At 41.3% G+C, this 22,360-nt stretch overlaps 1 protein-coding gene across 7 annotated transcripts in view, besides 3 other annotated features; it reads right to left on the bottom strand.

Annotated features, from left to right (window-relative positions):
• Positions 1-20,967, bottom strand: part of ANKDD1B (ankyrin repeat and death domain containing 1B) — a 60,394-nt gene extending 39,427 nt beyond the window's left edge. For 3 of the 7 annotated variants that reach the window (XM_017009814.2, XM_017009815.2, XM_017009816.2), the window contains exons 1-4: positions 20,593-20,967; positions 15,513-15,616; positions 12,007-12,105; positions 6,465-6,773 (exon numbers count right to left, since the gene is read on the bottom strand). In XM_017009814.2, the coding sequence (XP_016865303.1) occupies positions 6,465-6,773; positions 12,007-12,105; positions 15,513-15,616; positions 20,593-20,785 (705 nt within the window). In that variant the 5' untranslated portion in view covers positions 20,786-20,967. The remainder of the gene's footprint in view (positions 1-6,464; positions 6,774-12,006; positions 12,106-15,512; positions 15,617-20,592) is intronic. The other 4 variants (NM_001276713.2, XM_011543618.3, XM_047417686.1 and 1 more) reach the window with 2 other exon arrangements.
• Positions 19,860-20,666: an enhancer, noted in NCBI's record as "H3K27ac-H3K4me1 hESC enhancer chr5:74907579-74908385 (GRCh37/hg19 assembly coordinates)". NCBI's record gives its function as "activates a minimal SCP1, AML or CMV promoter by ChIP-STARR-seq in naive H9 embryonic stem cells {active_cell/tissue: H9 hESC(naive)}" and the evidence as "EXISTENCE:reporter gene assay evidence [ECO:0000049][PMID:30033119]".
• Positions 20,667-21,473: an enhancer, noted in NCBI's record as "OCT4-NANOG-H3K27ac-H3K4me1 hESC enhancer chr5:74906772-74907578 (GRCh37/hg19 assembly coordinates)". NCBI's record gives its function as "activates a minimal SCP1, AML or CMV promoter by ChIP-STARR-seq in primed H9 embryonic stem cells {active_cell/tissue: H9 hESC(primed)}" and the evidence as "EXISTENCE:reporter gene assay evidence [ECO:0000049][PMID:30033119]".
• Positions 21,474-22,281: an enhancer, noted in NCBI's record as "OCT4-NANOG-H3K27ac-H3K4me1 hESC enhancer chr5:74905964-74906771 (GRCh37/hg19 assembly coordinates)". NCBI's record gives its function as "activates a minimal SCP1, AML or CMV promoter by ChIP-STARR-seq in primed H9 embryonic stem cells {active_cell/tissue: H9 hESC(primed)}" and the evidence as "EXISTENCE:reporter gene assay evidence [ECO:0000049][PMID:30033119]".

Below are 22,360 nucleotides of genomic sequence, written 5' to 3'. Positions count from 1 at the left end.
TTGCCACCTGATAAGAAGACCCTGCCTAAGAATGAAGTCAGCACAGTGAAAAGCAGAGTTGAAAACTAGGAAGAGATAAAGAGCCCTGCTGACATCATTTGATCTCCTGCATTCAGACATACCTGAATCCATGGCTAGATTTTTAATTGAATGAGCCAATAAATTCCTTTCCTTAGTATGGTTTGGGTTGAGTTTCTGTCACCTTTGACTAGATGGCTTCCTTAAATCAACTGCCTATGTCAGAGAATTATGAGCAACTTCAATGTCCACCAATGAGTCTTTTTTTCTTTTTCTTCTTTTTTTTTTTTTTTTTGAGACAGAGTTTTGCTCTGTTGCCCAGGCTGCAGTGCAGTGATACAATCTTGGCTCATTGCAACCTCTGCCTTCTGGGTTCAAGGAAGTCTCCTGCGTCAGCCTCCTAAGTAACTGGGATTACAGGCGCGCACCACAATGCCCAGCTAATTTTTTGTATTTTTAGTAGAGACGGGATTTCACTATGTTGGCCAAGCTAGTCTCAAACTCCAGACCTCAAGTTATCCACCTGCCTCGGCCTCCCAAAGTACTGGGATTACAGGTGTGAGCCACCGCGCCTAGCCCACCAGTGAGTCTTTTAAGGTTCAACTAAACATTTCAGACTCATAAAGTTATCACAGGCAACATCTGGCACCAGTCTTCTCAGAAGATGTGGGCACAAATTACAGCTTGTCAGTATCTATCAGCTGTTTTCTCTTCATGACACGGTCCACATAGCTGTCCAGGAGGTATTGTCTTTGGACCCCCAGATGAGCGCTTAGTTGCAAAGTGACAAGATCCACATTGGATGGGTCGGAGCCATCCTGGCTTAGAAGGCTCATGCCCCACAAGAATAAATATCTCCTGAATAACTCCTTAGGCACAGCTTTCAGGGTCCCCATGAGAGAGATGCCTAGTTCCAAGAGTCACTGCACTCAGAGAAGCCCAAAAGATGGTTTCCCCTTCTGGAATTTATAATTCATCTGTAGTTCTTCCCAGTCTAGATGGAATTTACCAATTAGAGGTAATTTTATCACAATCTATGCTGCTTAGTAACATAGTTAATAATCTATCTTTATTTAGTTTGCAAGGACACAGAGGCAAAAAGTTAATCAAAATTTAAATTATCATGCAGAAGGTAAGTGCTTTTGTTAGCTCTTTATGCACAGAGACCACAAATAATACATGAAGGTCTTGTGCCCTAGTGTGGCATTTGTTGCTTTGCCTTTATATTTACCTTTCTTCTAGTAACAGCACTTTCATTTTACTTTGCAGAACAACCACACATACATACACACACCCTGTCATTTAGCCCATTTTGTGCTGTCCATTTCCAGGCCTTACCTGCCTGCCTTCTGCCACATGAAGTGATTACATAACCCTGTCGTCACAGTGATTGGTTCGAGATTGGGCATATGATTCAGGTAGGGCCAGAGTTGTTCCTGAGATTTATATATAAACATTTAATGACAGATTATTTTTATTTCTTATGGATTGAAATCCATAAGGATATTAAACCTGAGGCTGCTAACAGCTATCTTTCCTACTATATGAAAAGTATACCTATGAATAATGCTGACAGGCAGACAGCTAAGAAATGAAGAAAGAAAGAGCTGGGTCCAGCCATGCCTGAAGCTGGCAAGATACACCCTCAAACTCTTTAGTTCGAAGTTAATAAATTACCTTCTTTGCTTAATCTCGATCAAGATGGATTTTTGTCTTTACAACAGAAAGAATTCTAACTAATACATATTTATCAGTTTGGTAACAATACTAATCTGTTCAACTTTAAAATGGCACTTTTCTTTTACCCGTGGTTGCTACAAAGCTTTGCATTACTGCATAGATAACAGAGTGAAAGAAAGCTTCACCTGCTAAGAGATGGGAGGTTCTGAGAAAAGACTACAGTTACCACAGATGAAACATCTTTCCTTTCCATGGAAACACTATTAGTTTGAACTTTGGAAGCCCTTTAAAACAGTTATCGTCCAGGAAAAAGATGTAAAAGCAAAATTACACAAAGTAAAGACATTTAAAATAATCTGTAATAAATATATGAAAAGGTAGCATAAAGATGAGATTATAGCATAATGAGATATAAATCTTTTCTCTCATTGAGTACATATTATTAGACAAAATAACAGGAATTTCAAAGATATATGTGGTTTTTAAACAATATAGTTTCTTATCATGTCCTTTATTTTTTTTAACTACCCAATCCTTTTTCATCACATTCAAATAGGCCTCTATCCAGGGCAGTCTCATAGGACCTCCCTTACTTGGAAGGCAGGAAGCTTTTCCAGCCAGGAGGATGGTGGAGCTTGGTGTCAGAGCCCTGGGCTCCAGGCCTTGGGCAAATCGCAAAGACTCCCTGGCTCAGGATCCTGCCCGTTTAAGTACTAAAAGAAGAAGGGTCCAGGATTCCTGTTCTTTTTTTCCTCTATTAACTCGATGTCTATTTAACCTAATTATAACAGGGTCTTACTCTGTCACCCAGGCTGAAATGCAGTGGCATGATCTCAGCTCACTGCAGCTTCCACCTCCTGGGATCCAGTGATCCTCCCACCTCAGCCTCCCGAGTAGCTGGGGCCACAGGTGCGCACCACCATACGCCAGCTAATGTTTTGTATTTTTTGTAAAGGCAGGTTTTCACCATGCTTCCCAGGCTAGTTCTCAAACTCCTGAGCTCAAGAGATCCTCCCACCTCTGTCTCCCAAAGTGCTGGGATTACAGGTGTGAGCCACTGTGCCTGGCTAACCTGATATGTTTTAACTCAATGCATTTAATTTTTTTTTTTGCATGTTAAGTCTGAGGGATTGGGATTGTTTATTATAAATTATTTTTAAGTTTATTGAGAAGATGAAGTAATCAAATTTGATGTTATCAAATTCAGCAAAAATTTCATAAATAGCCATTAAGTGGGTATCCAAAGTTCAACCTGACCTTCCTTTACCACAGGGATCCCTGAGATGTGTCGCTCTTAGGAGCCCCTGAGGAGAGGCGCTGGTGGGCCTCCAGTGCATGTTCCTGCCTACAACATTTCCCATCACCCCGGGATCAGGCACTTGAGGCAGGGGAAACCCTGAATAACTAGAAATTTCAGAGGTAAAAAAATATGTGTCATGAGGTTAAAAAAAAAAAGCAGTGTGTTAAATATGAAAAAGTGGCACTGGTGGGGTGGGAGACACTGGGTTAGTTCTCCCCTCACAGATGGGAAACAATAGATTTGATGAAATCTAAAGTTGTTAAATGTTGCCTTGGGTCTATATAAGAAAACAGGTGTCTTCTCAAGTCCCCTTCTACTCACTATCCCCTTCCCTCCCAGAAAAAGAAGCTTCTTTGTATTTTGACTTCCAGAGACTTTAAACCAATGGAAGTCTACCATATTCGTAGCTGAAACCAACCCAACATTGTACCACCAAATTCTTGTAAATATTCAACAAATATATGAATGGCGTGTGAGGCCTTTCTATTTCTCTCCCTCCCCAAACATGTTAGTCTGAGTATTTATTTTTGATCACCAGATGGACATTTACATGTAGATTCAAAATATCTATACTTTATTCATAACTCCTGGCTGCTCTAATCTCTCTCCCCTGGAAAGGCCTCAATGATTTTTATGGCTGTGGAGTTGGGGGAAATCTCAGAAGGTTTCCCAGCAACCTCCATCTCTCCCCACCCAAATTCCCCCTGGCCTAGTTAAATCCATTTTGTTTTAAGGGCCTCCTTCCAGGAAAGCTTTCCTTGTTAGCTTTTGGAGTTCCCTCCAGGCCAAAGAGATGGATTTTACCAAACCTGGCAGGTACACAAGCTCTCAATCACTTTCTGTTGATAAGAAACTAGGCAAGAGAGTAACACTGTGAAGGTGAAGATGCCTTAAATATCAAATATATTTCACAAACTCCACAATACCTTTAAGCAGATGCAAATGGGAAACCCAGCAGTAAATCAATAGACCCTGAGCTTCTGATCCCAGTTGCAACTGGCATTTCCCCCCACAATTTTTTTTATTATGGTAAAGTACACATAACTAAATTTATCATCTTAACCATTATTAAGTGTATAGCTCAGTGGCATTAAGTATACTCATGGTTGTCTAGCCATCACTACCATCCATCTCCATAACGCTTTTCATCTTGCAAAACTGGAATTCTGTCCTCATTAAACAATAATTCCCACTTTCCCTTCCTCCTAGCTCCTGGCAACTACCATTCCAACTGACTTTTGTCAACAGGTATGACCCACTCACAGATCTTAGAAAAAAAGTAGATTTTTTCTGTGTTTTCTATTCATCAATTTAGTTTTCTTAAGAGACTAAAGTTGGGCTCAGACTCAAAGAGTCTTCTTTCCCTAGATGACCCAGTGGACTCATTATTTGCTCATTCCTTGTATGTCTCTGAACTCAGTTTAAGATCTTGCAGCTGGACATTACTCTCTGCAGTTTGCTGCCAACCCTTTTTCCCAACAGATAGAGGAGGAAGAAGGTGAGAGAAGAGGACATGCCCAGAATCAGTTGAAAAGAGTTTTGGACAGGAAGGCTGCTGGCCAGCAGAAACTCAAGAAGTGGGGAAGGCTCCCCGCAAACCTGCTTTGGTTTCTGAACCCCATCAGCCTGCCTGATCCTTCCCACACACTACCATCTTTCATGGAAGCAATCAGGGCACATTGAAGGGGAAAATAACTGTGTGTCTTATGCATAACAGGCCGTCAACAAATATCTGCTGAACTGAACTGAATGGAATTCATTCATTGGCCACACCTCTATTTGGCATGGATAAAATTAGGAAGATTCAACTTCCTTATTCTGATACTAAATAGCATTTGACTATGATTGTCACTTTGAGAAAATCAGATAGGATATTTTATCCTATAACAATTGTTACAACAGTGAACACTTACAATGTGCCTGGCCTGTTGCTAAGTGCTTTATAGTCATTAGCTCATTTAAGCATCTCAGCAGTGGCTATTACAATATTGCTACATAGGAATGGCATAAACGAAAGGGGGTTATGGAATGGCTTACCACGAAGCGCATTTGCATAGGTACTTTTACATAAGATTGAGGAAATGTCAATCATTATATATCAAAGAATGGAGGTTTGCTGATTTAAAAAAAAATTATATGTGGGACAAGACTTCTCCTATCAACCCTTGTTGTTACCATAAAGTAGATTTTATTGTTTCCATTGTATAGATGGAGAAACTGGGGGTTTCAGAAATTGAAGAGCTTGCTTAAAACCACACAGCTAGTGCATGGTGGTACTAACCAGACCACAGCCCAAGTCTGTCTTCCTCTAAGCTGTAAATGTATAGTTGTTTAATCATATGTAGAGGAAGTCAAAGAAGTTTATAGACCTAATTTGAAGAAATACTTCTTATCATTAATATTGTTGTTTTTAAGATTAAGGTCAGAAAACAAATGTCAAAATTTTTAAAAACAGGTGAAATGAAGTGACTATTACTGACCAGCTTCTAAAGAAACTTTTATGGTGTAGTATTCTGGTGGCACAGAGAAAAGGAAATCCCATTCATGAAGTATATTCTACTGCTGAGAAATCAAAATGCCAAGTGCACAAAAGCTACTCCTGTATGAAGAAAACAAAACAAACAAACAAAAAAAAAAAACAAGGCCTAGAGGGAGATATTCCGGGGGAAGGACAGTCCCTGACATGACCAATACCCACTGTTAGTCTGAGAAGGGAGACAGCACAGCATGAAGGCTGGATTCAGCCAGACCTGGCTTCAAGTCCTGGCTCTCACTTTTTAGTTGTGAGACTTTTGATCAGGTGTTTGGTCTCTGAATCTCAACTTCCTCTCCTCTACAAATGAGCAAAATATTTTCTACCTTATAGGATTATTGTAGGGGTTAATGAGATCATTCATTCATTCAGCAATGATTTGTTGAGCATTGGTAGGTGCCAGGCCCAAGACCTCTTACTGAAATAATGTATGTAAATAGCTTTCCTCTGTACCTACATTAATAGATACTCGTTAAGTAGTAGCTGGTATTGTTATATATCTCCTTATGTAAAGAAAAGGAATATTGACAAATGCAGTAAAACTGCATTGTATTTCAAGGCTCATTACTGTATAGCTTTGGGTCAAATATATTCCCAAAAGGCCAAGTATAATAAAATAAAATTTAGGTACACATTCTGATTACTAGAGGGGATAGGATACTATCCACACTCTGGCCAGGATGAGGGAGTAGAATGGGAAGAAGGAATCTGGCTGCTTCCTCAACATTTCCTGTTCTCCCTACAAGCAGGGGCCAGGACCACCACTAATACCAACACTCCTCTTTGGTTCTGTGGTCTGCCATGGTGATGGAGGAGCCGGCTACAGGGCCGGGTCTGTCTGTGCTGGCTGCTTTCACAGCTGTACCAGAGGCAGGAAGAAAGTGAAATTTGATAGGGGTGTATGCAAGACCTACACAACCAAAGTGAACACACCTCATCAGGCTGGTTCAGGTCCTTGAGGTGCAGATCTTGAATAAGATACTCCACGATGCGCACATGATTGCTCTGAGTGGCAAAGTGGAGGGCGCTCATTCCATCCTGAAGAGAACCAGGGGTGGGGGAGATAGACAGTGACCTCAGAACTTCCTCTCTCCTGCAATGGTGAGGTAAGAGCTTTTGTCCAGGTGTGACCCACATACCTACCTGATTCTTGGCTCTCTGGTCTGCTCCAGCTTTAACCAGCATGAGCATGACCTCAAGGCTCCCAGACCAGGCTGCAAGGTGAATTACTGTCAAGCCGTGCTTCCCCAAGAAGACAGAAAAAGAGAATCTATCACTCTGACAAGCTGCAGCCATATACTGCCTCATCAACAAAGGCCAAATTAATACTAGATTGTTGAAAACTAAGAAATAGAGAATTTAATATGCAGCAAAAGTGATATTTCGGTCCTATGGGGAAAAATGGTTATACTTAATAAGTGGTACAGGCAAGTGGTTCTCCATCTGGAAGAAAATAAAATGAAAAGCTATATCATACCATACTCACAAAATAGCACACAAACAATAAATATATTAGAATAAAATCCAGACTATAATGTATAGTCTCTTAATCCAGAGTTAGAACAGATAGATAATAAAGTCAATTAAAAATGACAGATTTTTAAAAATGTATCTTTAATAAAGATAAATGGTTATTCTCTAATGCATGAAGCACACTTACATATGGAGGAGAAAAAGACAAACTCAGAAAAATGGACAAAGAAAGGAAATGGAAATGATTATTGTTTAAGTATCTGGCAATATCTATCAGAATTAAAAATACAACCAGCAATCCCACTCCTGGGAATCTATCCCATGAAAATAAAAATGTCAGTACCTAATTCTATATATATAAGGATAGTAATTGTAACACTAAAAACTGAGTGCAAGATAAAAGCCTATCAACATAGGAATGCTAAATAAGTTATGGAATAGTCAGACTATATAATGCAAGCATTAAAAATAATGAATTGGTGCTACAACAATTGACTTGGAAACATTTCCATGAGCTTTGCTAAATATGGAAAATAAGATAGACAATAAATATGATATAATCCCATTTGTTAAAAAGGAGTGATTAACAAAACCCCATACATGTATATGTATATATCTATATCTATCTATAGGTGGGTTGGTGGGTAGGTAGGTCGATTGATCAATATAGATATGACTATGTGAGCAGGAGAAAAGTACAGAAATAAACACACATATCTCAGATTGTTAAGTATGGTTACCAGAGGAGGAGAGGGTACACACAGGTGAAAAAAACACAAGTTATAAAGAGGATCTCATTTATATAGATGCTACTTAAAATATTTTATTTACACAAAATTATTTAGATTTGTCTGTGTGCAAACACATGTGCATAAAGTTGTGAGACTGAAAGAGACCAGGACTTAGTGACCTGTAGGGATGCTGTGGGCAGTTGTATGCTGACTTGTCTACCAAATAAGGAGAAAAGTGTGGAAGGAAGCATAGCCAGCAGTTAACACTGGTTATTTTAGGGAGGTGAGATTCGAGGGAAATAAGCAAAAAAATGCATCTGCACCCCGGGCCCTAAGTTACAGAAGCAGGATAGGGCAGACACTATGAGCCTGATCTTCAGGATCAAGCAGAACTAATCTCAAATTCTGGTCACTTTCTATCACTTTCAAGTACGGGGATCTTGGTGAACTTAGTTCTAACTCTCAGCTTCAGCTTCCTTATCTGCAAACTCAAGTGTCTGTTTTTCTGTTTCCTTTAGCTCCATGAAAAAGTAATCCATTTCCTCAGTACAAGTGCCTACCCAAAGGAAGCTCTCACACTACATTTTATTTGCCTTTTCTAATCAGTTGTGTTTGTGATCTGGAAACTGTTTGTTAGATGTACACAGTATGAGTAAATGACTAAGGAATGAGGGCCTGCAGTACACTTCTATTTGTAAAGTACATAAGCCTTTTGGCATTTATTTTGGCTGCCCCCAAGTTGCATTAATGTATTCTCTTATTCTCAGTAGAATTCATGTTGGGAGAGTAAAACAGCAAGTCCCAAATTATTGAGGCATAACTCTAAACTGGTGATTCTCAACTGGGGGTGATTTTGCCCCCAGGAAACATTTGGAAAAATGTATGGAGATATTTTTTACTGTCATGCCGTGGGTGGGGGGAGGTTAATATTGGCACCTAGTGGATAGAGGCCAGGGACACTGCTAAACATCCTACAATACACAGGGCAGCCCCAACGACAAAGAATTATCAGGCCCAAAATGTCAATAGCACCACTGTTGAGAAACCCCACTCTTAATGTGCATATCCTATCAAATTTATATTTCAGCTATCACTCTAGACGGTGAGTTAGTCCATTTGTAGGTTTACAATTCCAGCATGAAGAAGACTCTTCATTTCTGGACTCTTTGTTCCAAAGAGAAATGATGAACAATGACTGACTACTTGAGGTTCTTCAAAACATGTTCCCTAAACACAATTCCACCTCTTAATTTGGAGTTCCCTACAAGTCAGCGCTCTATATTTAGTAATACTAAATCTGCTTTCAAATAGAGACCAGAAGGCCAGGCACGGTGGCTCCTGCCTGTAATCCCAGCACTTTGGGAGGCCAAGGTGGGCGGATCACCTGTGGTCAGGAGTTCGAGACCAACCTGACCAACATGGAGAAACCCTATCTCTACTAAAAATACAAAATTAGCCAGGCATGGTGGCGCATGCCTGTAATCCCAGCTACTTGGAAGGATCGCTTGAACCTGGGAAGAGGAGGTTGCGGCAAGCCAAGATTGCGCCGTTGTACTCTAGCCTGAGCAACAAGAGTGAAACTCCACCTCAAAAAGAAAAAAAAACCACCAGAAATATTTGAGACAGGTGACAAATCACTCTTTGATAGGAGATCTATTTTTCCCTAAAAGGTAATTCCTAATTTCAAAGCAGCCTACATTTTAAAATTCGAAGCTCCGATCATAAAATCTAAAAGCTGGGAATTCAAGCTGCAATCAACTTGAGTCTCTAAAACCACAAACTCAGAGTGGAGCCATTGTTCCTCAGAGGCAATGAATCACCGCTCACAGGTGTAAACTCCCCGAGAAGAACCTCCATAAAAGAAATTCTTCTGATATAAAACTGGCATGCCTGAGACTACTTAAGACCATGTGTCACAAATTACACTCACAGTTGGCTCACGAAGCTCTGTAAAGTGTACATTGCTCAATAGTCACTGATAACCTGTCCTCATTGCCAGTCTCGTCATAGGTGAGGCCAATAATTTCCTCTGGGGAACACTTCCATGTTAGGAGCTTCCCAGAGGTAAGAAGCTTTGTCAGCAGATGTTTTTATCCTCTGAGCACCACTTGCACCCACCTGGGATTCTTTACACCTGTCTGGAGTAAGAGCCTCCATTTATCCAGTCTGCCTCTTCCCAGGACTCGGGGTTGCTGCTCACTTTGGTCCCTAGCATGCAGTGCCTTGAATGGTACTCAGCTGGTACAGTCTCTGTCCTTGCTCCCCAGATAGACTGTAGGCCCTGCAAAGCCATGACTCTATTTCATACCAGTGCTTCCCAAAAACAATCACCTAGGAATTTTTTAAAAATGCAGATTCTGATTAAGGCCTGGGGTGGGGCCTGAGATCCTGCATTTCTAACAAGCTTGCAGGTGATGTGCATGCTTCAAGTCCTGGGACTACACTTTAAATAGCAATGACTTCTGTCTAATTGAATCCTCAGTAGTTGACACTGAGACATATGCACAACAGCCACTGAATAAATATTGATGGTGAAGGGGATCAACTGTTGGCTCTTTGCAAATGGTGTTAGAACTTAGAAGAAGTCAAACTCAAGGCTCACCATTCAGATAAAGAAGCTGCCAGATTGGGTCAAACATGACCTTGGTTGAATTATGAAAAACATTTTACTAGTTACAGAGTAATGCCACTGTAGATGATTTAATTAGTTATAAATATATTTAACTTAGTGAAACCTTCAAAGCAGGAAAAAGAGACACACCAGGAATTACTATATTTCCCACCTGACATTATTTCAATCTTCAGGCAAAGTTAAGAGAAATAGTCATGCTTCAGAGACAAGGTAATACAAATAGATGTTTAGAAAAACCTCAAGGAGAACAAGTTGGTGAAATATCTCTCCATCATTTCAGGAATAATTGATTTGCACTCTGACACAAACCAGTCCTGTATTTAACATATTAGAAACATGGCAATCCTCAGATATTCTGTTTAAAAGAAAAGATGCAATCTAATATGGGCAATGGATACATAGGTGTTTGCTGTATGATTCCCGCTACTTTGGTATGTTAGAGATTTGGGGTTATGGTTTTTGTTAAAACGAAGTAAGCACAGTCCACTCTGTCTCTGCCACCAAAACAAATAAAATCTCTGGAAAGAATGCATGGAACGTACACTTACTATATACCCACACAAATTTTAAATTAAAATTAAAAAAAAAAAGAATGCATGGAACAGCTGAGGACTCTGTAAATGGTATCAGGTGGATTGGGGAAAAAATCAGAACTCAAAGTAAGGACAATCCTGCAGTGACTTTCCTGATTTTTCTTTTCCTTCCATACCTTCCAACTTGGACTCAAGGCAGTGCAAATCATGGAACTGTGCCCTGGGCACAGTCAGAAAGATTTCCAAGAGAAGCTCTCTCATTCTGGTCTAAAGAGGAGAAGGGAGCTCCTATAGAACAGAGAAGGTAGGGGAAATTCTCTGCTTCATTTTTCTCTACTGGCCCTGCCCCCTCCCCCAAGCCAAGCCCCACTCCCAAAGCTACAACTTGACAGTGGTAGGGGTAGCAGCAGTGGCTGGGCAAGCACCCTAAACTCTGACATAGGGGAATCTTTCTCTCTGACCAGAGGAACTGCGGTCATAAAGCAGCGTGGAGGGAGAATCCAAATGTTCTCTTGTTACCCTCCCCTACTTGGTCCTGGAGGCAGACCTATTTGTGGGAAGTACACAGCAGAGCGGGGAGACCACAGCCTTGGCTTTCCAGACAGAGGACCAGGAAAAGAGGGTGAGGAGCTAGAAAATGTAGGGGAGCTGATCATGGAGACGATGGAGCCTGAGAAAGTGATGGCATAAAGTTGTGTGTGTGCTCCTGGGCTTACCCCTGAGCTGTTTAATACACCTATTTATTATCAGAGTTCATAGAGCAAAGTCAATATTTGATGTCTCTGGGGCCAGTTAGCTTCTGTCTTCCACATTCCAGATTATACTCTGGACAATGATCTTGCTTTTACAAATGCATGCTATTGGCCATAAAGTCAATATGAGAAAATAAGCAAAAACCCAGGTCCCATAGGTAAAGGGGAAACAATTTAGTCCCCAAATTCAAAGAGCACATATATGTATATTCTCTATGAAGAGACCTTTCCAAAACGAACACTGCCAATTAAAATATTTTGTGTGTATGTGAAGAAAAGATGTCTAACTGGAATGATCAGATTCTCCCTGTACATTGGTTATGCTCCAACTTGTTCTACTCAAGATGAGCTTACCTTATCAGCAACATCCACCCTGGCCTTGTGTTTAAGCAAGAAATCCACTGCAGATAAATGATTTCTCCCCACTGCAAAATGCAGGGCTGTGCGGTTCATCTGAGGAAGCATAATTTATGTTTTTAGTCATCTGATCATTATTCAGTGATTTTAGGTTTCCTGTTTCTTGAATGGCCACACTTTTCTATCAAGTGTTTCTATTTTGATTGTTTGGCTCCACTCTTTGCCTTTACCTTTGAAAGTTATGAGAATTGTGTCCAGCCGAATTCTGCCTTCATTATGAGATAACATCAGAGAATTTGGCAGTCCACTGAAGGACACGCCGCAAGATGAAATTCTTGTTTCAGCTTATATTGTACTGTATTGTAGCATTATGTTGTAGCAATATAATGGGTTTTGTTTAGAAAGTAAAAGTTGGATTCCCCCCTTATGCAATCATTAATAATGGTAAATTTTTCTGCTTAGAATATACTAATAATGCATAGCGGAAATTTTCCTAGATATTCAATCCACTCGTGTTCGTTCTTCTCTAAGTTTTTGGACTGTAAATTTTACTGAAGCAAATAAATTCCTTCTGAAAGGAAGAAGGAAGGGAGGAAGGGATAAAAGGAGTGAAGAAAGGAGGAAGGAAAGAAAGACAGAAGGCAGAGAAAGAAAGCTATGACTATCTTGCTCCAAAGGAAAGTCAACATGATGCTCCTGGGATACCCAGAGACAGTCTAATACATTTCAGATAATGGAAGTTATGCTCGGAAGTGATATGTGTCATATTCCCCATATTCTAGACACTGCTTTTGCTCCCAAATAAGATGTCTGGGCATGGCTTTACTATTCTTTGTTATACATAAATAATAAAAAAATGAGAACCATTTAAATATTTGATTTTCTTGGTAGCATCAACCTAAATAATAAGAGATACTCTCAAAAGAAAATATATTTATTTGGGAATAAAGCATTGCAACGGGAATATGCATGTCATAGTAAAACTATGTGTGTATTTAGGGAAGTAAAAGAAGACAAAGGTTTTTAAAGGAAAAAATGAGGATTATATAATTGTTTTGAAATAATTATCCTTTGCTACAAAGTTCAACAACAAGCTGACGCCAGTCTTAGGCAGTTGCTGCACAGATGTCCTTGCAGAATATTTTCTGTGTAAGGTTGTGATGGCGTTTGTGCAAGGTTGTGGGTTTTGCAGTCTTTTGTGGTAGTTTTTGTTATCAGGTATACAAGCATGAGAACCCTGTATTCATGGCCTTCCCCAGCTCTATTTGTCAAGGTTTTCTTAATATCGGTGACTCCATTTTGATTCTGAAAACTTTCACAATAGCTAAACCAGTGATAAAATAAGTTCAACAAAACATGAGTTATGGCTGGGCATGGTGGCTCATGCCTGTAGTCCCAGCACTTTGGGAGGCCAAGGCGGGTGGATCACCTGAGGTCAGGAGTTTGAGACCAGCCTGGCCAACATGGTGAAACCCTGTAACTACTAAAAATACAAAAATTAGCCGGGTGTGGTGGCGTGCGTCTGTAATCCCAGCTACTAGGGAGGCTGAGGCAGGAGAATTGCTTGAACCCAGGAGGTGGAGGTTGCAGTGAGCTGAGATTGCACCACTGCACTCCAGCCTCGGTGACAGCACAAGACTCCATCTCAAAACAAAACAAAACAAAACAAAAAAACCCATCAGTTATTATGACTTTGTCTGAAATCTGGAGCTTTGCTCTACTATGTCAAATATGGGCTTATAAGCTCCACTATTAATTTTACTTGTGAATAAGGATGTAAGCCAAAATTGCACCCAAGATAATTCAATAAAATTACTTATATTTTTAAAATCTCCATCATCACTGGTTTTAAGGAACTCTACAAGTAACCATGTCAACAATTTGCTGTAAACAGTAAACAGATGTCATTAGAAAGTATAATACAATTCATTAGGAGTTTATAATAACTTGCCACACTGCAAGTTAAAGTATATCAGATTGTAGTATCTCTCCCAAGTACTTTAATATTAAGAAAAAGTTTAAAATAACAGAAAGTTGTATATGGAAAAATGTTAAATGTTTTGAATAGTATACTAGAGAATCTATTTCCTGCTACTTGGAAAAGTGATTATTGCTTCACTTACTCCCACAGTTAACCTTCCACGGTCATAATAATCTTCAAAGATATCTATCCACAAATATTTTTGAAACTATACAAATATTCCCTTCAAAGAGACTTGCTTATTTCTTTTCTTTTTCCTCTTTTCCATCCTTTCTCCTTTCTGCCTTTCCTTCCTTTCTTGATTCCTTTCTTTTTTTTTCTTTTTGTCCCTAAAATTGTTACGCTACAAAATGTTGCTGCTTTCCTATTCTAGGATATCTATGGAACATGAGCACTATATATACACCCATAACACATCACACACACACATTATACACAGACATACCAATCCCCACACTCATCCCCACACATAAGCACAAAGCCACACCACCCCCCTACTGCCGCCACATGCACAACATTCTTCCACTGCACGTGGGACATGATTTCAGATTCTGCAGCTTCAGTTTCTAGGACCTTACTGCCTGCGACAGACACAGGTTTTGTGAAACCTGAGTTTAGACTATTTAGGGAGTCTTCCTTAAAGCCAGAGTCAGAAAGCTTAAATAATTGCAGTTAAAATGCCTTACATTTTTTCAGATTTTACAAAATCATATAGTCATAGGAACATATTACTAGAGCCCTCTCAGTGCCTTACAAGGGGCCTGTACAAGCAAGGGCCCTGAAGCTTATGCTTCGTATACCATTAAATCCACCTCTGCCACACCCACCTTGAACCACTCCACAAATTGTCCTAAGCAATTGACACAGCCTCCAACCTTCACTTTGATAAACCTGGCCTCAAAGGACTATCAGGAAATCCTCACAAAAGCAAGCAGTAAAGAATCCAAATTTATGGCAGTGGACTTTCCCTCCGCTAAAACCCGGCACTTAAAGAACAAGTAAGAGCCAGGTTTTAGATAAGGCCTCATTGCCCAAGAGGGAGACGCACTACATTTCAAAACCAGTATAATGAAAATCCACACGCCTCTTTAGATTTTTAAATTTGGAAAAACAGAACCACAAAGGACATCATTGGCAAGAAAACAACCCAGATTGTATAGCAAAAAAATGTTCTGCCTTTCCAGAATGTGTGAGGCCAAACTGATCCACAGGCGACAATCCAGGACCAAGTCCGGGCCTGCAACCCTGACAGCTGGCTTTACTGCCCACCCACAGACTTTGAACAGATAGGCATGAAGATTCTGTGCACTCCCCTTCTTGGAAGAGGAATTAAAACACCCAGAGCCTCTTCCACTGTTTGACTCCACCTTTTAGCTTAAACACCCCGGGATTACCAACAAAGCAGCTCTCCCTTATCTCAGCCAGCACCATGATTTTTATTTTTATTATTATTTCAGATGTCCTGTGTAAATCCAAGCCATTACTGGAGAAGTCACTTGTCATATTTATGACTTCTACTCACATTGTTCACAACATTAATGTTAACCTTCTTTTCAAACAGCTTCTCCATAAGATCCAAATTATTGCTTTTAGCAGCATTCTGAAAGCTTCTCTCATTTGGGAGTACTGAAAGAAAGCAAAGCAAGCATGACTGAGGGAATTTAAGGAGGCCAAAGAGAAAGCATATTTCATAGGGCAAACCTTGTAACAACAGCTTTGAGTCTTTCACATTTTGCTGTTTTATTTAAGACATGGGAACTTCGCTTCAATATCTTACAAAACTGTAGTATCAAGATTTCATTTTCTCCTCATGCTGCAAGCGCTTTCACATCCTTAAAAATGTTCCTGGCCCCAAACAAAACATTATTCATGAGGACCACCCTGAAGTCAGTAACCTGGTATCTGGCTTAGAAGGTCAGAAGGCGGCCATAGACTTCCCAGGGGGCATTGTTTGTAAAAAACCTTGTACAAGATTAGGCAGGGAGGAGTCCAAATGCTCCTACAGCTTACAGAGATAAAACTGTTGTCTTCAGAACTCTATACCGAGGCCAGGCCTGCATGAAGATTTCAAAATGCAGCCCATCATACATACAGACACAAAGTTAAAGGGGATTAAAATGTTTTATTCTCATTTATATAAAAACACATAGAAGTAGATTGACATCTACTATAAACATCACATTTCACACACATATACACATTCATATGGTAGGCTTTATTAACTATCACAGAGAAGATTCCAGGGTTTATTGAGTTTTTTGTTATGTAGGGGAGTAGAGGGCTCTCAGAGGACAGCCCAACATAAGGGGTAAGACCAGAATTGAGGTTAAGTAGGAGTCAATAACATACCATCTCCAAACAGAAAGGACCGTAAGAGAGGTTTCTGTAGATGTGTTGTGGATTAGTTTCCTAAGGGTTTCCTTGTTTTTTAAATGGTACCATCATAACATTCAATGTTCCCCAAGTTTTTGCCGAAGCAAAGACCTTTCAGGATACTGCCAAGTCCAATCAAGGACCAACCAAGGAGTATCTTCTTGGGAAATATTGTTATGGGCTGAATTGTGTCCCTCCAAAATTCCTATGTTGAAGTCCTAACCCCAAGTACCTCAGAATGTTGACTATATTTGGAGATAGGGCCTTTAAAGAGGTAATTAAGGTAAAATGAGGTCATATAAATGGGCTCCAATCTGATAATGATTGGTGTCCCTATAAGAAGAGAGATTAGGACACACACACACACACACACACACACACACACACAGGGAAGACCAGGTGAAGGCAGGGAGAAGGTGGCCATCTATAAGCCAAGGAGAGAGGCCTAAGAAGAATTGAACTTTTCCAACATCTTGATGTTGGACTTGTAGCCTCCAGAACTGTGAGAAAATAATTGTCTGTGGTTTGAGCCATCCAGTCTGCTGTACTTTGTCGTGGCAGCCTGAGTAGACTCATGCAGATTCACATGTTCATTCTTTCTATTACCTGGATCCTTCTCTTCGTTCCTACCCCTACTCTTGTCACCATTCTAGGTGACTTCAACCTCCTCACAGATGATTAATCCAACACCTTGGCCTCTTAGTTCCCTGACTCTGTCACCTCTAATAATCTTCCCCAGATCTGACCTTAGCCATCAAATTTCAGAGACACATTCCTGAACTAATCATCCCTCAAACTGCACTACCTCTGAAATCTTGACTTCCAGAATCCTATTCTTTGACCACAACTTCTCATCCATTCAGCTCAGCTGCTCTAGTTCTCCAAGTCCAGAAATTCTGCAACCTTATGAAGTCCTCCAGTCCACAGTTCTAGCCCTTTTTCATATTCTTCATCTCTATGTCCTTACTTCCCTCCTTACCATGTTTAGATTCCATGGTGCCAGTCTGTTTTTGCTGCCATAACAAAATACCTGACACTAAGTAATTTTAAAAAAACAGAAATTTATTTTGCACATTCAGACCATAGCACATGGTCCACCTATGAAATCACTTCTATGCAAACACTTACCTCCCTCACCATTCTTTTCCTCCATTAGACTAGTTGGTCAGAATCCTAATTCTGAGATTAAATCCAACTGCTACTTGCTTTGTTTCTGTACCTGAACAGCTAAATGGTACTGGAGAAAAACACACAGCCATACTGTAGTAGACATTGCTAGTGTTCATCAATATCTGCTTCTTCTCTTCTACCTGGTCACATGTGTAAGCCCATAACCCAGCCTGGATAGTTGAGGTGTATCCAATGGACTGAAAGCACAAGTGATGGCATGTCACTTTGGGGCTGAGTCAGTGAAAAGCCTGTGTCACCCTCTAGGTCTCTTTTCCCTGCCTTATCAACACTGGAAGCCATGTGTTTAAATGAAGGGGTTACAAGATGGTGGTACCTCCATCAACTTGGTATTGGGACACAATTCTCCCTGGGTCTCTCACATTTCTGCACATCTTACAAGCAAAAGCACTGACTGGCTTTGCTCTTTACTACCTTTTCAAGGATGTTTGTATAGTGAAAAGCCTTGACAGACAGAGATAATATCTTCCTCTGGAGCAAAGGGCAGGTTTGCTTGCAGCCTTGGAAGAAAGCAATGGTAAGGCATGCTTACTGACTATTACAAAAGATTTGGGTTCCCTAAGCGCAGGATTTTTCTGTAACACAACCCACTGTGTGTGCAGGTGTCATTTGGCATCTTTATATCTCCCTGTGGGAATTGGGGCTTGGAGAACTGACACAAATGCTAACACTCTGGCTACTGCTACTGCTATGAGTAATGAAATTCATCAACTCTGATCCAGAAGTGTCTTCTGCCAGCATCTCTATCACCTAGCAAGCTAACTTGTGAGATTACAAGTAGGGTAAAATCTCAACCCCTTTATGATCCTTGACACCTGGGTTCCTGAGAGACTAAGAAGATGAGAGACCCTCGCCAACTTATTTTGGACATGCTACACGAACAAGAAATATATCTTTCTTTTAAATGTAAAGACAGGGTCTCGTTACGTGGTCCAGGCTGGTCTTGAATTCCTGGTCTCAAGTGATCCTCTCACCTGGCCTCCCAAAATGCTGGGATTATAGGTGTGAGCCACCACACCCAGTCAGAAATAGATCGTTTTTAAGTCCAGTCACTCAGATGTAGGAGTCATTTATTGCTGCAGGAAAAGCTTACTTTGTCCTGACTGATACACATGCTAACAGGTCTCTTAAATTCTTCCCCACTAATCTCAGCACGACTAGCTAGCCTCTACATTTCCCTAGTCTTCCCTTCTTCAACATGTCATATCCTTTCCTTTCTCCTCAAATATCTGAATTTACTAATCTACGTAATTTACTTCCTCCCACTACCATCACCTAATTCTCAGTTAATACCGTTGCCTCATAGTGAAAACAGAAGTAATAGGACACGAATTCCCACATCTTCCCACCTAGGTGAGTCTACCAACCTACCTTCATTTATATATGCAGGATGAAGCATCCCTGTACCTAGGAAAGGCCAACCTCTACACTTGGGCTCTGGATCCCATCCCCTTTTATCTTTTCAAGTGTTTCATATGTCAATCTCCTGGAAATTATCTCTTCTTTCCTCTAGATCACTTAATCTCTCTCCAGTGGATCACTCCCCTCAAAAAATACTGAGATGCCATAATACCCTATGCATAAAAAACCCTCCCTTGACCCCAGCTTCCTTTCCAACTGCTGCTGCATTTTTCAACTTTCCATTACCCCAAACTTAAGTATTCTATAATTGCTGTCTCCATTTCTTCATCTCACAGTCTTGTCTCAACCCATGCTAATCAGACATCTTTCCCACCCCTCTACTGAAACTGCTCTTGTTGAGGTCACTCCGCCTTGCCAAAACCCAGTCATCATACCTCCGTCATGTGCATTGAGCTCTTGGCAACTTTGACACAGAGGAACACACACTCCATGTAACATGTTCTTCTCTAGAGGTCTGGTAAACCAACTTTCGCTTTCTAGTCTTTTCTACTGGCTCTTTTTCCTTTGCTTGATCTCCAACTATTAGAATGCCCTAGGGTTTATATAAAACAAATAATCTGTTGATGTAGGCATGATTCCTCCATTTTACAGATGAGGAAACTGAGATCTTCAAAAGTTATACCACTTGCTCATGCTTTGTAAGTTATAGAATTGTCCCAGGCAGCCTGACTCCAACCACATTACCCTGTCTCATGGCCTTCACTGCACTTACCTTAAATTATCTTATTCATTTATTTGCGTACTTATTTTATTGTCTATCACCCCTCCACCACAACAGAATGTTCCACCAGAACAGGGGTTGTCTTGTTCTCTCCAACCCTACATCTAGAACATGCCTAGCAAATAGTTAAGCCCTTGAAAATAGTTCTAGAATGACTGAATGAACACTATATTGATGAATTGGTGTATAGCTTCCAAGCCTGGTTTAGGAAATAAGGCCGTCCCAGCCAGTAGGCTTGGATGGTGTGCCCCGTTAAGAGGCTTGAGTACTGGGAAGGCTGAGGTGGGAGGATCACCTGAGCCTGAGGAGGTCTGTGATTGCACTACTGCCTTCCAGCCTGTGCAACAGAGCAACAAGACCCTACACGCGGGGCGGAGGGCGGGGGCGGGGCGGAGGGCGGGGGGGGGCGGGGGCAGACTTAAATCGCTTTCAGCTTTCGAACTGCTTAACAGCTGCCTCAGTTTATGCTACACATTATTCCCAAGGCATAGATGATCCACTCCATGCTTTAAAAACTTAAGTGCAGAAAGATTAAGTGACTGACTTATTTAAAGTCAGACAATAAATCGGAGCATGAGTCACGATATAGGAGATAAGAGCACATGAAACTCTTATTTGCAAAAGGACTTAATCATTATTTTTAAAAGCCTCCTCCTTAATTCGGAAGAATAATACTGTCCTTCCACCCACAGTACATGGTGGGGGTGGATTCCAAAGCTGAAAACCAGCCAACAGGGAGTGCAGCGGTGCAGGCTGGGACTCGGGGTCCCAGGGCTGAGTCGCCTCGCCAGTTTCCCTCCTGCAGCGTCCGGAGGTGCTGCTCTGGGTACCTTCTCAAGTCCCTTCGACCCAGCCCGCCCCGCAGCCTGATTTTCTGAGACCTCGTCCCGGGACTCACGGAGCTCGTGTCCGGCAACTGCTGTGTCCTCCTCTCCAAGACCCTCCCGCTTCGGGATCCGGGACAGGCTCCTCCAAGGCAGGGCGGCCGCGCCCCACAGGTCTTCCCTGAGACCCTTGGCGGCCGCAGCAGCCCGGAGCAGCAGCCCCCCTGCCGTGGCCCCTTGGCCCCGGGCGCGCCCGGCGGGGTCCATAGTCTCCTCCGCGGGCCCTGAGCGCAGGGCCAGACCCAGACTCGGACCCAGATCCAGACCCAGACTCGGACACAGATCCAGACCCAGGCAGGCCCAGGGCGCGGGGGCTGGACGCAGGCAGGTCAGCCCGGCCGGAGCGCAGGATCGAGTCCGCTCTCTGTTGTGGCGGTTCGCTGGGCAACAAGCCCCTAGTTTCCAGCCCTGCCCTGACTTGGGCTGGCCTGGGATAATCCGCCCTCAGGTGTGGCGTGCACAGTGCTAAGGTTTGGTTCTCTGGAAAATAAAACATCCAGCGACCATCGAGAACGGGCCATGATGACAATGGCGGTTTTGTCGAATAGAAAAGGGGGAAATGTGGGGAAAAGAGAGAGAGATCAGATTGTTACCGTGTCTGTGTAGAAAGAAGTAGAAATAGGAGACTCCATATTGTTCTGTACTAAGAAAAATTCTTCCGCCTTGGGATGCTGTTAATCTATAACCTTACCCCCAACCCCGTTCTCTCTGCAACATGTGCTGTGTCAACTCAGGGTTAAGTGGATTAAGGGCGCTGCAAGATGTGCTTTGTTAAACAGATGCTTGAAGGCAGCATGCTCGTTAAGTCATCACCACTCCCTAATCTCAAGTACCCAGGGACACAAACACTGCGGAAGGCCGCAGGGACCTCTGCCTAGGAAAACCAGAGACCTTTGTTCACGTGTTTATCTGCTGATCTTCTCTCCACTATTATCCTATGACCCTGCCACATCCCCCTCTCCGAGAAACACCCAAGAATGATCAATAAATACTAAAAAAAAAAAAAAAAAGAATAAGCAGAGAAATTGGGGAGGGTATTCAAAGCTGAACAACTAATGGTCCAAGGATATCACTATCACTATCATTAACACATGCTTTAGTCACCAGGAACTGCCAATTTTACTTCTCAAATCTCTTAATTACATCTGCTTCTCCATTTTTATTTCCATTGCCATCATTGCTTGTCACTGAATTTATTGTAATAACTTCTTCATAAGAATTTATTGTAATACCTTCTTCATAAGAATTTGTTGTTAGATGGATTTATTGTCTGTTGCTACATTTCAGGCACAGAATTAAGCACCTTTTGCACAGCCTCACTTAATTCTGAGGTATGGTGTATTCTATTATTAGCCCCGTTTGATAGAAAAGGATTCTGAGGCTTGAAGACGTTGGTGGAAGAAACAGAACTTGCCCCTAACGAGCATGACTTCTAAGAATGTGTTGTCAAGGGCGTGACTCACTCACCTTGCTCTACAGCAGGGGGTCACTTTGCTCCATCCCCAGGCCAAATCCCGCTGCTGCCTGTTATTGTAAATAAAATTTGTTTTAACACATTAAAAAAAAAAATTCCTGCAAAATCTACAAGCCCCAATGAACTCCCAGCTCTACTCTACCACTTCTTTGTATAATTTTGAGAAATGTCAAGGTTGAATTTATAACTAACACTATAGGAACTTCAATATTAAATCATTTCTAAATGGGCTTCCAACATTTTCTTTTGAATAAAGTAAGACTTGATTTCTCATTTGAAGACCATGAATTTTAATCTTTCCTGGCGGA

Source organism: Homo sapiens, chromosome 5, assembly GCF_000001405.40.
Source record: "Homo sapiens chromosome 5, GRCh38.p14 Primary Assembly".
NCBI classification, from domain to species: Eukaryota; Metazoa; Chordata; class Mammalia; order Primates; family Hominidae; genus Homo; species Homo sapiens.
This window is presented reverse-complemented; position numbering and strand designations above follow the sequence as displayed.